Below are 14,672 nucleotides of genomic sequence, written 5' to 3' on the forward strand. Positions count from 1 at the left end.
TCACATCTGTGGAGCTTGTCCAAGAAAACTACGAATCATGTGGACAAAGATTTAGCTACAAGGACATTCAACAAAGAGTTGTTTAAAACATGAAAAACTGGCTGGACACGGTGGTTCACACTTGTAGTCCCAGCTATGCAGGAGGCTGGGGCAGGAGGATCGCTGGAGCCCATAAGTTTGAAGTTACAGTGAACTATGATTGTGCCACTGCACTCCAGGCAGGGCATCAGAGACCCCGTCTCAAACAAACAAACAAACAAACAAACTGGAAACAACCTAAATACCCAACAATAATATGGACAGTATACATCCATACAATGAAATACTAAGTAAAACTTTAAAATGATAGTGTAAAAGCAGGTGAGGCTTTTCTTTGACATGGCAACCTGTTCATGATTTCACAGGAAATGAATATTCAAGTAACAAAATGTATACTGTTCAATATAAATTTTGATTTTATACACCTACACATAATACAACTAGAATAATACAATTGCCCCTCCATATCCGAGAAAAATTGGTTCCCAGGATCCCCTTGGATACCAAAAATCCACAGATGCTCACATCTCTGATATAAAATGGTACAGTACTTGCATAAAACCTATGCACATCCTCCTGTATAGTTTAAATCATCTCTAGATTACTTATAATACCTAATACAATACAAATGTTATGTAAATAGTTGTTATACTGTTTTTTTATTTGTACTATATTTAGTACATCACTAAAGAATAAAACTGGTTATATTTGATAGGTGGAAAAACAGGTGAGTTTTTGGGTTAGCTCTTCCTAATAGTTCTGTAATAAACATGTACCACACTCTTTTGCATTAGAAAATTAATGGACTTTAATTCCAACACTTTGAGGGGCCAAGGCAGGAGGATAGCTTAAGCCCAGGAGTTCCAGACCAGCTGAGGAAACACAGCAAGAACCTGTCTCCCAGAAAACCAAACACCGCATGTTCTCACTCACAGGTGGGAATTCAACAACGAGAACACTTGGACACAGGGTGGGGAACATCACACCCTGGGGCCTGCTGTGGGGTGGGGGGCAGGGGCGGAATAGCATTAGGAGAAATACCTAATGTAAATGACGAGTTAATGGGTGCAGCAAACCAACATGGCACATGTATACCTATGTAACAAACCTGCATGTTGTGCACATGTACCCCTATGTAACAAACCTGCATGTTGTGCACATGTACCCTAGGACTTAAAGTATAATTAAAAAACAACAACAACAACAACAAAAAAGAACCTGTCTCCACAAAATTTTTTTTTAAAATTCAGCCAGGCATGGTGGTGTACCCCTGCAGTCCCAGCTACTAGGGAGGCTGAAGTGGGAGGATCACTTAAGCCCAGGAGGTTGAGGCCGAAGTGAGCTATGATAGCACCACCGCACTCCAGCCTGAGCAACAGAGTAAAATCCTGTCCAAAAAAAATAAAAAAAGAAAGAAAGGAAAAGGGGGGAAAAAAAAAACTTAATGGAAAGCATTTAAGCATTTCAACAACATTCTACCACAGGGATCACTTTTAAAGGCATACTGTTTTCAGAAAGACAGATGTTTTCTCCCTAAAATTAACTTGCAGTCCAAATCCAAATATTTAACTCAAGATACAGCCATAAACAGCTTTTTCTCTCTGTAGGACACTTAAGAATAAATGCTTGTGATTAGACTGACCACCAGCCAGAGAGTTTGATATACGATTTGGTTTAATGTTTTCTACAAAAATCCCTGCTCAAAAGGATTCTTCTCAATGTATCTATTTCCACCTGTTTCCTGTATTTGTTTCTCCCCAAAATCCTACCTTTCTGTGGCATAACATCGAATTTTTATTCATCCCAAATAATGGTCCACTGAACACTTTAAATAAAAGGCGGCTGGGTAGTAGCTTGGAGATAAAGCACTATTTTACAAAACCCTAGGGAAAGGCAGTAATATGGAAGAGTTTAGTGTGGCATCATAAAAAGTAGGCATTTACTTGTAAAAATTAAATGCACACAGGCTTGTTCATTTGTATGTGTACATATGTACGTGTAAAAAAATTATATACACAAATAAAGAAAAACAACAAAACAAAACAAAAGAACCCTGAAATTCAAATTGTTGACAGGTATAGAAAATAGGAGTAAGTTCATGGCTCCTTCATTTGCTATGTCTCATTTCACAAAAGTTCCTATTATTTTGAAACACTTAGTATACAAAGTCCTTCAAAATATACTGACATAGAAAAGCAAATGAAAATGACAGCAACCAAAGGCAAAGTAATAGTTAATAATAATATATTGTATAGTTTCAACTAGCTAGAAGGAAAATATTGAACATTCCCAACATAAAGAAATGATAAATGTTTGAGAAGATGGATATGCTAATTACCCTGATCTGATCACTATACATTATATGTTTTCAAAATATCATATGTACCCCATGAATATGTACAATTATTATTTGTCAATTTAAGTAAATATATTTTTAAATAATTAAAGAAAATTTAAAAAAATTTTTTTTTGAGACTTGGGTCTCACTCTGCAGCCCAGGCTGAAGTGCAGTGGCACAATCTTGCCTCACTGAAGCCTCAACTTCCCAGGCTCGGGTGATCCTCCCACCTCAGCCTCCTGGGCAGCTGGGACTACAGGCACACACCACCACCACGCTCAGCTAATTTTTTTGTAGAGACGGGTTTCGCCATGTTGCCCAGGCTGGTCTGGAACTCCTGGGCTCAAGCAACCCTCCTACCTCAGTCTCCCAAAGTGCTGGTATTACAGGTGTGACCCACCACGCCCAGCCTAAAGGTGTTTTAAGTAATATATTCTAAATGGATATCTTTCAAAACAGAAAATACATTCACAGTGGAAAAAGTAAAATGTGAGGATTCAGCTCCAGGAAAAGAGTCATCAGAGGAAGGAAGTTCATAACTACTCAGGTCCATTTTCTCTTTACAATTCTTACTAATAACATGTCCCATTATGACCATTCCGCTGAAGAAATCAGACTTATCAAGAAATGAAAACAGATCACAGGAAGGCAGGGGAGGAAATGTCAACCTCAGAAAAAACTGAGATCATTTCAGAGGTGCTGACAGATAATGGAAATGCCACCATGGCAAAACACTACCATCCTTTTGTGACATAACTGGGATAAAAATCCCTACAGACAACAATACCAGGGGAATAAAATTAAGAGAGCTGAAAACAGAAAGAACAACTATGACCTATTCTCATGTTTTATGCTGGAAAAATGAATTTGCAGCAAGGGCCTTGGTGCCAATGTTAATTCTCCATACATATGGAGCCCCAAAGATATATCTAATACAGTTTCATATATACTTCTGCTAACTTGCTTACATTCTGAATGGGACTTTCAAAGGGGGATAAAGTTAAAACTGGATTAAGGAACCCAAATTAAAATAAACCCTTCCTGATGCACTAATTTTTCAGATACCATAGAAGTCTTGGTCAAGTCCAAAGTGAGAGTGCTAAGATGGCATTGCACCCACAGAAATACAGATCTTGCTTCCAAAGATGAGGGGAAAGGAACATTTTTCACATATCTTGCAGTTAATCACTTACATACTTAGATCAAAGGGAGTAATCAAAGTTCCAAAAGAATTTCAGATTAGCTTTTACATTATCATGTGTCCCATGATTACAATTACCTGGACCCAAAAAAAAAAACGAGCTTTCTACACTAATGGATTTGTCTTGGGGACAAGAGATAGGCAGTATACACCCATCGTCTTGCTTTGCACGTTATTGCAAGGACACACGCAACATCGTGTCTTTCCTATGTCAGGCATCCTTGGACTCATTAACTCTTAAAAATCCCATCCATCACCCAGGACATAAAAGGTAAAAGTCACAACATCACTAACCAACCTTCAAGATAACTTCTCACTCACTACAATGAACATGATGTGTAAGAGGTAGACAGAAAACACAGTGTTATAATTGGGAAGAGGTGATAAAGGTGTGAGCAAAAATTAAAAGAGTCATGTATTATTTGCCTAGTGTTAGACTTGAAAAAGGGCTTAGTATATGGTAAGCACTCAATAAATGTTCACTTAATCATAATATACTAGTACAGAATTACTTAGCCATATCTGTCTGTCCAACACCACACATATAAATACTCACCATTTGACTAGGTTTTGATGAACTTGAAATTGGCGTGAAGAGGGAGTTAGTAAGAGGCCCCACAAAGAAACACAAAAAGGCAACTGTGGTGAACACCACCAGGTTACCAGATGAATACCCTGTCTCCCCAGTCTTCTAGCCATTTTCTTACCCCTATAGGTTACAAAAGACATACTTTCAGCCATCATTTTCGCATAGAACGCCATTACGCTGGCCACAGGTGCAGACATCTGACCTATTATGAACCATTGAGAATCCTTCTCCCTGGTATTTACAATCAGAACTAAGAGATTCCAGCTTCAGTCTGGATGAACCCTTGAGAGGAAGAAGTATATGCTAGGAGTGTGGACAGCCAGGCTCTGGGAAGCAGATCAGTCTATTTTGAGAGAACAGAAGAATGAAGTAAGAGCGCATTCAGCAGGAAATGAAAAATACCTACAGAAAAACCTGATAAGGTTCAAAGTCTTAGTCCCGGGGTGTTTCCAAAACTGGCCTACACTGGATAACCCTTACCTTGGGTATGCTTCAGATACCCTTACAGTAAACATCCTCTTTTTATTTTTGCTCAAGAGCATTTATACTACTTGCAACGCAGAGCCCAACATAAAGACTATTCCTCTCTAACCAAAACAATCCAGAGACAAGGAAAAAATAAAAGATGACGCCACACAAAAGGAAGAGCAAAATAGCCCAGGGTGGTCTTTCCAATGATGAGGAATCCACCATGCAGGCCCAGACCAGAGACTGGGAGCTCAGAGAAAGTGTATGGATGACATTTCTGTTCATCCTCGGTGGAAGGGTGAGAGTCACGTGGTGACGAAATTGGCTGGAGATATGAGCGTTGTTTTTACAATGTTTTAGTATCTGTGAATACCACATTCTTTTCCTTTCTTGTACAGTCTTGTTTGAAACTCTGGCAAAACGCTGCAAAGGGGAAGCAATTGGAAGTTGGCTGAGATGAAGTTATGTGATTTCAATTAAAAACATTCTCTCACTTGTGGCTTGCTATCGCTGTGGAAAATAAAGAACTGCAACGGCAAGGTTTTTTCCCTATTGAAAATATTTCTGTTAAGCTTCAGAACGGTGAAAATCATTTATCTACATACACAAATAACTTCTGTTCAAGTTATATCGGGGCTCTGGTCCAATCCCCAGATTCTGCGAAAAAGGCAAATTTTGTATAGACTAATTCTACTGTTCTCATTTCCTCAGCACCCTCCACAATTTTGCATGTATACATCCCAGAATGCCTAAAAACTCACAAATGCCTGCTATCCCACAGGGTTCCAATAATTAGCACTTTTACAAGTACATCCTTATTTTGCTGCAGAAAATACTTACGAGGTTTTAAAATTCATTATTTTTTTTAATACATCATTTTCACTACACAAAAAGAACTACCAAGACTGGTCTCCTCAAAAGGATAACATACTTCTTAATGTTTCCCCATGATATTTATTAAACGCTAAGGAATGCAAAAATAACATATATTTGTGAGAGTTCTCTGATATGGATTAATGATCATTTCTAAATATAGCAATAGTAGGGAATAAATGTCTGGATTTGCTTATGTTTACTAAACAATAATCTTACAGGTTGGTATTTTACTGCTTTACAAATACGAGGGAGACAAACAAGCAAAGCTGTAGGAGAGAGAAAACTCTCACATCGCAATTGTGTCTGCCTAGAGAATCAGGTTCCTGAACACTGCTCCCACCTCCAAAGTATCTGACAAGGAGGGAAGCCACAGACTGCTCCCAGTCTGAATGCAAGCCCAACCTCATATAGTAGAATGAAAACAAACTCAGCCAAGATGGTTCCTTAGCAGTAAAATTCGCAGCAATTCAGGAAGATAGCAGCCCCTAGACACGGACTTGAGAACTTGAGAAGGCAGCCACAGCCCAGCCCCTTGCGTATGTAAAGTAAGCTCCTACAAGTCATTCATTCCTGCAGGAAGCACCCCTGGCCCTCCTAAGAATCACAGCAGAAGGGCTAAGTTTTAGCTGTGAAAAGACAGAGCTTGAGCTCTCTTACCTGTACCAGCCTGTGGCTCCCTCCCACTTATTCCAATTTGCGACAGGCATCCAGGGCTCTTCCTGCAACTCTGAACGGGGCGGATCCTGCCAAGTCTCTGCTCGTACCTGAATGCAGGAAACTGAGCATGCTCCCCATCAGGGAGCAGCACTAGGGCAGGACACACGCCATTACCTCCAGCTTGGGAATCAGACCAGATCAGCAGCATCACCCTGCCAACATTACCAGGAAAGCAGAGAGAAAATGAAAATTGCCTTAAGGAGCTTTAACAAAATCAGAAATTAAGGATCAAAAGGAATAGAATGAAAGGGTCATAGGTGTCACTAAATGGCTAGAATGAGAACACCAAGGTCAATCCAGTAAAAATCAGCAGGGGTTCTCAGCTCAAAGTCTTTTTTGGGGGGAGTGGTGGGGAGAGGTATAACTCTGTCACCCAAGTTAGAGTACACTGGCGCAATCTCGGCTCACTGCAGCCTCAACCTCGCAGGCTAAAGCAATCCCCCCACCTCAGCCTCCCAAGCAGCTGGGACTAGGACTACTGGCACACACCAACACTCCCAGCCAATGTTGTTTATTTTTTGTATAGACAGGGTCTCTATGGTGCCCAGGCTGGTTCTGAACTCCTGGGCTCAAACGATCCTCCCACCTTGGCCTCCCAAAGTGGTGGGATTACAGGCATAAGCCACCACAGCTTGAAGTCTTAATATTAGTACAGGAGTGGCAAGTGGAAGCTTGGACTAGGAGTCCTGGGTATGTATCCTGGATGCCGTTTCTAACTCAGGTGTGACTGTGGGCAAGTAACTTCTCTCTAGAGTTCAGTTTCCTCATTTAAAAAACCAGGATAACAGCAATGCCTACTTCCTAGGGCAGCATAAGAATGAAATTTCTGACACACAAAGAGCACTCATGAAATGTTCTTATCAAATGTAATGCAACACACACATACGCACATACACGCATGCCTGCACGTACACACACCTTCTCCAGAGATCAGTTTCCCTAAGACAGAGGGAAAAGAAGGTACTTTCTGAAAGGTTTTGTTTTTATCCTTGCCAGTCAGCTTGATTTACTCAAACTTCCTAAGTGCTTATTTCGATTTGCCTAAAATCAGGCACAGAAAATAATTCTAGGCCAGGCGCAGTGGCTCACACCTGTAATCCCAGCATTTTGGGAGGCCGAGGTGGGAGGATCACCTGAGGTCTGGAGGTCAAAACCAGCCTGGCCAATGTGGTGAAACCCTGTCTCTACTAAAAATACAAAAATTAGCCAGGTGTGGTGGTGCACACCTGTAGTCCCAGTTTCTTGGGAGGCTGATGCAGGAGAATCGCTTGAACCCAGAAGGTGGAGGTTGCAGTGAGCCGAGATCGTGCCACTGCATTCCAGCCTGGGTGACAGAGCAAGACTCTTTCTCAAAAAAAAAAAAGAAAGAAAGAAAATCATTCTAATTTCCTCAAAACCATGTAAATCTAGCAAATTAGAAAGGAGCACAGACTACTTAATCTTTGAGGAAGCTGTCAAGATTGTGCCATAACTTTTTGATTCAGTTCTCAACTTTCCAACTAATTCCAGACAGTAATGAGACACCACTACCCTGATGGCTGATATTTCACAAAATATGCAGCAAGGAGAGCCCATGAGGGCAAGAATGGCCTGGAATGACCAACCCTATGTCAGTTTCTGTTTTGCCTGCTTGACTCTCAGGATTAGAAGGGTGATAAGGTCACACAATCTCAGGCCCCTTCTCACCTACCACATCTTCAAAGAGACATCCACCCTCTGATATATCAAACTGGGTGACAGGAAACTTGGTTCCTGCTAAAACCCCTCCAGTGAATGGCCACTGCCCTTAGAACAAAATCCAAAACCCTGACCACGGCCTTCAGGGCCCTGCGGCCCGGCCTCTGCTGCCCTTCCCAACCCAGCTCCCACTGTTCTACCCCAGACCTACCCTCATCCAACACTCCAAGCTCTGCCCACTTCTAGGATGTAGCTTCCACCATCCCTCAGCCCAGAATGCCCTTTCTCCATCAATCCTATCTCTGGCTTTCTCATTCTCCAGGTCTTAGACCACCCTGGCTAAGACAGATCACCTACCCACCATTCAGTTCACAAGTATCATTGACAAAATAGTGAAGAGTTTAATTGTTTACAGCCTGCCTCCCTCTCCTCACTAGACTGGAAGCTCCAGGAGGTCAGGGCCATATGCTGGTCATTATGTGGATGCAGCACCTGCCACATGGGGAGGGTGACCAGGCACATAAGGTGGTGACTGCCTCTTGAGGCTGCCCATCCCCTCTTTGGACAGCATTTGGAGACAAAGCTTAAGCAGGTAACAGGACAAGAAAACGCCTCATCCTGGAACTTTCTCTGCAATGGAAATCAATATGATTCAACAAAATTAGGTACTCCGTATAGGGGATCTTAACCAGAACCCCACATTACAATACACAGGGGAGCTTAAAAATTATACTAAAAATAAGAATAACACTAATACTGATGCCTATGCTATATCCCCAAGATTCTGATTTAATTGATATTAAATCTGGTTTATGTGATTTAAATGATATGATATTCAGCTAGGGTTGAGAACTACTGTTTTAGAGCACTGCTTCTCAAACTAGTTGTGAGAAAGGACCAGCTGTTTCTTATTTCCCAAAGTATCAAAAGATAATAAAAATTAATGACCAGAAAAAACACAAGCACACCCTACAAAATACAAGACCCAACTTTTAATTATTAAACTCAACAGATAGACAACTGTCTTGTGCAATTACATTTCTTTTTCTTAGCCTGGGCAACCTAGTGAGACCTCATCTCTATGAAATATTTTTTTTTTCTAATTAGCTGGGCATTGTGGTGTACACACCCTGGGTGACAGAGTAAGACCTTGCCTTAAAAAAAAAAAAAAATTCTTTTTCTTATTTTTTTAGAGACAGGGTCTCACTCTGTCGCCCACATCAGTCTTGAACTCCTGGGCTCAAATGATCCTCCCACCTCAGTCTCCCAAGGAGCTAGGATTACACACTCAGCCAATTACTATTACATTTCTAAATTCTAAGTCTCAATTTCTATATTTATACCATTGTGCACAGGTTAACAAAAACAGACTTTGCACCTCAGCTCAGGTCTACAGAGCAAATTTAGAGTACACTACTCAGAAGTTACAGAAAAAGGACAAAATGTAGTCTAACAACTTAGTTGAGGACTGCACTCTACTCAAATTATACTACACAGTAGTAAATGACTACATATCTAGGCAGGAATGCACCACACAGATCAGAACAGACTTTTCATCTGACAGATTTTTGTGGTGCTTTCCGGATATAAGAAAGAGTTCTCCAAGTGTTTTTAAAATACCGAAATAAAAGAGTTTCTGGGATGGTTTATCCACAATTAAGGCATTCTCTTATTAAAAACATAACCTTGCTTTTGCTCACTTGGTTTCTTTAACATCACTATATTTGAGCATGTGTTTTCCATTAGCTAATAATGCAGAAGTGTGTCATTCTTCTCCCTGAAAATATACTGTTACTATGAAGGCACATCTTGAAAATGGTAGCATCTAATAATAAAAAGAATATATTACTCGAAATAGGACTAAACTAGGAAAGGGAGACTGATGGTCTGAAGTGAATTCAAGGATGGGAGACATCAATGTGGGTTGGAATAGCACGTAAAAGCTCCATGAAGAAGGAAGCACCAGGGCTGGGTGCTTAAAGAGAGGTTAGGATGAGGCAGGCAGATGGGAGCAGGGAAGGAATTTCAGCCCAGTCTGAAAGGGCAGCATGTCCACTGGTCAGTTTAATACAGGGCTGAACCACAGCAAGGGGAAGATGCAATGGGTGGGCTTCTTTTCCCAGGGGATATCACCCCCACCTTTCTTCCAGGCCCATTCCTGCCCTCCACAAAAGTATCCACAAAAGTCAATGTTTTCATTAAACTCTCAAGGGAAATGCCAAAGACAAAGAAAAGTTTCAATAATCAAAATCAAAATATACAGCCATCTTAGCTGGGTGTGGTGGCTCATGCCTGGAATCCCAGCATTTTGGGAGGCTGAGGTGGGCAGATCATTTGAGGTCAGGAGTTAGAGACCAGCCTGACCAACATGGTGAAACCCCATCTCTACTAAAAATACAAAAATTAAGTGGGCGTGGTGGTGGGCACCTATAATCCCAGCTACTAGGGAGGCTGAGGTAAGAGAATTGCTTGAACCCAGGAGGTGGAGGTTGCAGTGAGCCAAGATCACGCCATTGCACTACAGCCTGGGCAACAGAGCAAGACTCTGTCTTAAAAAAAAAAAAAAAATCTACAGACATCCTAGTAAATTTTGGCAAAAAAAAAAGAAAAAGAACTTGACAATGTACTTCTGGACCTGAACAGTGGTAGAGAAATGAGATTTCCCTTTTGTCTCTAGCATTGATCCACAAATTCAGTGAGAAAAATCTTGCCTCTTGTTTACAAAAAAAAAAAAACACTCCACTTGGTGAAGACTAAGGATTTGTAAAAAGAAATGGCTCGATGACAAAATTAACATGAATTCTACTCTACTGCCTAAGGAGAGCCCTTAATTAGATTTTTCAAATTGCTAAAAATATTACTGCTTAACTCCCTTTGGTTTCAAATATAGCATGATGCATAGTATTATTGAAAATAAACATTTTATTAACATATATGTTATTCCCATGGATCCTTGAGATAACTCTAGTGGGTGGATGAGATTATCCTTTTCACAGGCTGAGACCTGGTAAGGCTGAGTTATTTGCTCAAAGTCCTACAGCTTGTCAGTGACAAAACCAAGACTTAAACCCAGGTCTCTGCTGTCAAATCCTTTGAAAGTCACCACATGCAAAGTACTTATCCCCCCACACCCGCCTTCCCTGGAACTTACAACAACTCAGCCAGTAAAGCTTTGGCTATGGAAATATAAGCAACGTTGGAAGTAAAACGGGCACATTAAAAGCAAAAGCACAGATTGGTTAAAAATCTAGGAATCCACTGCCTTCTGGAAATGACCAAAAGACTTTACCTTTTTCAGGTTGAAGTCTTCAGTGGATCTGGTGTTTTCAGATGCCCAGTTCTGAATTCTCATTCAGAGTTGCCATAGCTCCCTCTAGGTGACTTCACAGTAACCTCCTGTGAGCCTGAGGCTATTCCTTCTCCACCCCAACTACCTTCTCAAGCATCTGATGGTCTTTTCAGGCTTGTTCCTGCCTCAGAGTCTTGGTGTTTGTCACTGGCTTTTTAGGAAACATTCTTGTTCCCAGTATCCATTTGCCTGACTTGGCCTCATACTTGCGTCTCAACTTAAAATGTCCCCTGTCACGTGTTACCCCGGCTCCATCACTCTCTGTGGAATCCCTCTGTTTCACTTTCTCTCTAGTGCTTATGATTATCTGAAATTCTTACGATTCATGGAGCATGCAAATACCACACGAACACAACTAAAAAAGAATCAAAGTTAACACAAGAAATACACCAAACGCCACTCATAAACAAACATGCCCTGAAGGAAAAGTTCTTATAAATGAATCCAAAATAACAGAAGACATCAAATATTGAATATTTTGCTAGCTCACATACACCACACAATAAGAAACATTCAAAGGTAGTATACGCAGAAAATGTCTACGAAACAACAAAACACCAACCTCTTTTTCCTGGTGTTGAACACTCTTCTCTCTGCCAATACTGTCCACAATAATCCTTAATTTTTTTTTTTTTAATCGAGACAGAGTCTTACACTGTCACCCAGGCTGGAGCACAGTGGTGCAATCTCAGCTCACTGCAACCTCCACCTCCCGGGTTCAAGCAATTCTCTGCTGGAATTACAGGCACCCACTACCACACCCGGCTAATTTTTTGTAATTTTAGTAGAGACAGGGTTTCACCATCTTGGCCAGGCTGGTCTTGAACTCCTGACTTCGTGATCCACCCGCCTCGGCCTCCCAAAGTGCTGGGATTAGAGGCGTGAGCCACTGCACCCGGCCAATCCTTATTATTTCCGAATGAAACAACTTTTAATTCCTGCAAATCATCTTCTATATTTTTCTCTCCATGAAATAAGTGAGGTTGCAAAAATCAGCTACGTAAAAACTAGTATCTGAGCTGTCCAGCGTAAAGGATATTAGGACTCCCTGGCCGACTTCCCCTCTGGAAAATGTGGATCAGCCTTTCTAACAGACTCCTGGGGCAGCTCTCCAGCATGCCTTATCATTAGAGGACTCTCTTGGTCATTAACCATAATGACCACTCATAGTCTACATTTCAATCTGCAACACAGTGGGGCAGACACTCAGAAGTCTGCTTATTCTCAGCATGTAATGCTGACATGAGTCAATTTTTTAATAAAAGTCATAAATTTATGGTTCTAAAATATAGAGAATGACTTCTAGTTGTGATCAAATAACCCATTTTCTAGGGATGGTCTTTTATAATGCCAATTCCATGCACAATTGGGAATCAAGTTAAGGTGTGTCTATGACCAGGTAGAGTATTCTCATTACCAGAAGCCTTTGCTCACAGTGCCTCATGAAGCTACCCTCAAAATGTACTCAAGTATATAAATTTTCTCTTCCCGTACTGACACCATCACTGAAGGGCTAGTATCAACATTATTTCCATAGCCCACCTTTAAGGAGTTAATATAGTCTGGGCATGGTGGCTCATGCCTGTAATCTCAACATTTTGCAAGGCAGAAGCAGGAGGATCACTTGAGCCCAGGAGTTCAAGATCAGCCTGCACAACAAAGTTGAGACCCCATCTCTACAAAAAAAAAAAAAATTGTTTAATTAGCTAGGTGTTGTGGCACATGCCTGTAGTCCAAGTTACTTGGGAGGCCAAGGTGGGAGGACTGGCTTGAGCCTGGGAGGTTGAAGCTGCAGTGAGCCGTGATCACACCACTGCACTCCAACCTGGGTGACAAAGCAAGACCCTGTCTCAAAAAATAATAATTAGGCCAGTGTGGTGGTGGGTGCCTATAATCCCAACTATTCAGGAGGCTGATGCAGGAGGATCACTTGAGCTCAAAAAGTCAAGGCTGCAGTGAGCTGTGATCATACCACTGTACTCCAGACTGAGTGACAGAGTGAGACCCTGTATCCCCAAAAATTAAAAAAATGTAAAAAGAAAAGAATGTAAATTAGCTGCTGCCCGCTTTATTTCAGGGATGTGGGGATTCCAAGCAAGATAATCAAACCCAGATAGTATCTACACCAGCGATCACTAACCTTTTTGGCACCATGGACCGGTTTGGTGGAAGACAATATTTCCATGGGCCAGGGGTGGGGGATGGTTTGGGGACGAAACTGTCCCACCTCAGATCATCAGGCACTAATTAGATTCTCATAAGGAGCGCACAACTAGATCCCTCACATGTGCAGTTCACAACAGGGTTCACACTCCAATGAGAATCTAATGCCACCACTGATCTGACAGGAGGCGGAACTCAGGCAGTAATGCTCACTTGCCCACTGCTCACCTTCTGCTGTTCGGCTCAGTTCCTAACAGGCCACAGACCAGCATCAGTCCATGACCTGGGGGTTGGGGACCCCTCATCTAGCTCATAACCTTCTGTCTATGTTTGGATAATATTACCTTAAATAACTGAATATAAAACAATAAACATGTTTAAGTATTTGAGGCTGCCAAAGTGAAGAGTTACAGAGTACTTTTGTTAAGAGATAGATATAATTGAGAATCTCAAATTTGGAAAAAGATCTTTTATCCCCCCATGAAAAAGTTATCACAATGAAAACACATTTAAAAATGAGGATAAATGCAATGCTGTACTGTTGAAAATACACAAGTCTTTCAAATGCATATTCCAGAGGAAAAACAAGCACCCTTGAAAATCAATCACTGAAAAACAACCAATAAAGTACGCCACCATTGCAAATGGCTTTCCTGTTTACATACTAATCGAAGTGGTTGTTGGGGCAGCACCATGCCAAACACTGATACGATGGAGGACATGGAAGCATGAGATAGCTGGGAAAGTGATCATCTAATCTGAGAAAAGAGTCACTACTACTTATTAAAGAACTACTTACTTAAAACATCCTGCGTTAGAAACGAGTGCCCCCAACCTCCATCAAAACTCTACAGTAGCTTCCTATCACTTTCAGGCCATAATCCCAAAATACCTCTTTAATTTTACTTCTCGACATGAAGGTCCTGACCTAGTAGTTAAATCTCTGCTCATCACCTATCCAACACAGTAGATGGGTGTCTACCTTGAGGCCTCTTTCAGACATGGTGGACTTTTTTTTTTTTTTTTTTTTGAGATGGAGACTCGCTCTGTAGCCCAGGCTGGAGTGCAGTGGCATGATCTTGGCTCAATGCAACCTCTGCCTCCTGGGTTCAAGCGATTCTCCTGCCTCAGCCTCCTGAGTGGCTGGGACTACAGGTGCACGCCAGCACACCCGGCTAATTTTTGTATTCTGAATAGAGACGGGGTTTCACCATATTGGTCAGGCTGGTGTCGAACTCCTGACCTCAGGCGATCC

The 14,672-nt window shown here is 41.4% G+C and overlaps 1 protein-coding gene and 2 long non-coding RNA genes across 8 annotated transcripts in view, besides 3 other annotated features; 1 reads left to right on the plus strand and 2 right to left on the minus strand.

Moving 5' to 3' along the window:
* The window catches only part of MAGI1 (membrane associated guanylate kinase, WW and PDZ domain containing 1), a 685,393-nt gene that overhangs the window by 542,903 nt on the left and 127,818 nt on the right, over window positions 1-14,672 (minus strand). The gene's annotated exons all lie outside the window — the stretch shown is intronic.
* The window catches only part of MAGI1-IT1 (MAGI1 intronic transcript 1), an 81,745-nt gene that overhangs the window by 23,615 nt on the left and 43,458 nt on the right, over window positions 1-14,672 (minus strand). The window contains exon 2 of the long non-coding RNA NR_145422.1: window positions 6,169-6,380. This is a non-coding gene — a long non-coding RNA (MAGI1 intronic transcript 1). The remainder of the gene's footprint in view (window positions 1-6,168; window positions 6,381-14,672) is intronic.
* The window catches only part of MAGI1-AS1 (MAGI1 antisense RNA 1), a 31,482-nt gene that overhangs the window by 2,613 nt on the left and 14,197 nt on the right, over window positions 1-14,672 (plus strand). The gene's annotated exons all lie outside the window — the stretch shown is intronic.
* Window positions 4,846-5,140: a silencer, noted in NCBI's record as "tiled region #7664; HepG2 Repressive non-DNase unmatched - State 19:H4K20". NCBI's record gives its function as "represses a minimal TATA promoter and a strong SV40 promoter by Sharpr-MPRA in HepG2 cells {active_cell/tissue: HepG2}" and the evidence as "EXISTENCE:reporter gene assay evidence [ECO:0000049][PMID:27701403]".
* Window positions 5,464-6,364: an enhancer, noted in NCBI's record as "H3K27ac hESC enhancer chr3:65887567-65888467 (GRCh37/hg19 assembly coordinates)". NCBI's record gives its function as "activates a minimal SCP1, AML or CMV promoter by ChIP-STARR-seq in naive H9 embryonic stem cells {active_cell/tissue: H9 hESC(naive)}" and the evidence as "EXISTENCE:reporter gene assay evidence [ECO:0000049][PMID:30033119]".
* Window positions 6,365-7,264: an enhancer, noted in NCBI's record as "H3K27ac hESC enhancer chr3:65888468-65889367 (GRCh37/hg19 assembly coordinates)". NCBI's record gives its function as "activates a minimal SCP1, AML or CMV promoter by ChIP-STARR-seq in primed H9 embryonic stem cells {active_cell/tissue: H9 hESC(primed)}" and the evidence as "EXISTENCE:reporter gene assay evidence [ECO:0000049][PMID:30033119]".

Source organism: Homo sapiens, chromosome 3 (assembly GCF_000001405.40).
Source record: "Homo sapiens chromosome 3, GRCh38.p14 Primary Assembly".
NCBI classification, from domain to species: Eukaryota; Metazoa; Chordata; class Mammalia; order Primates; family Hominidae; genus Homo; species Homo sapiens.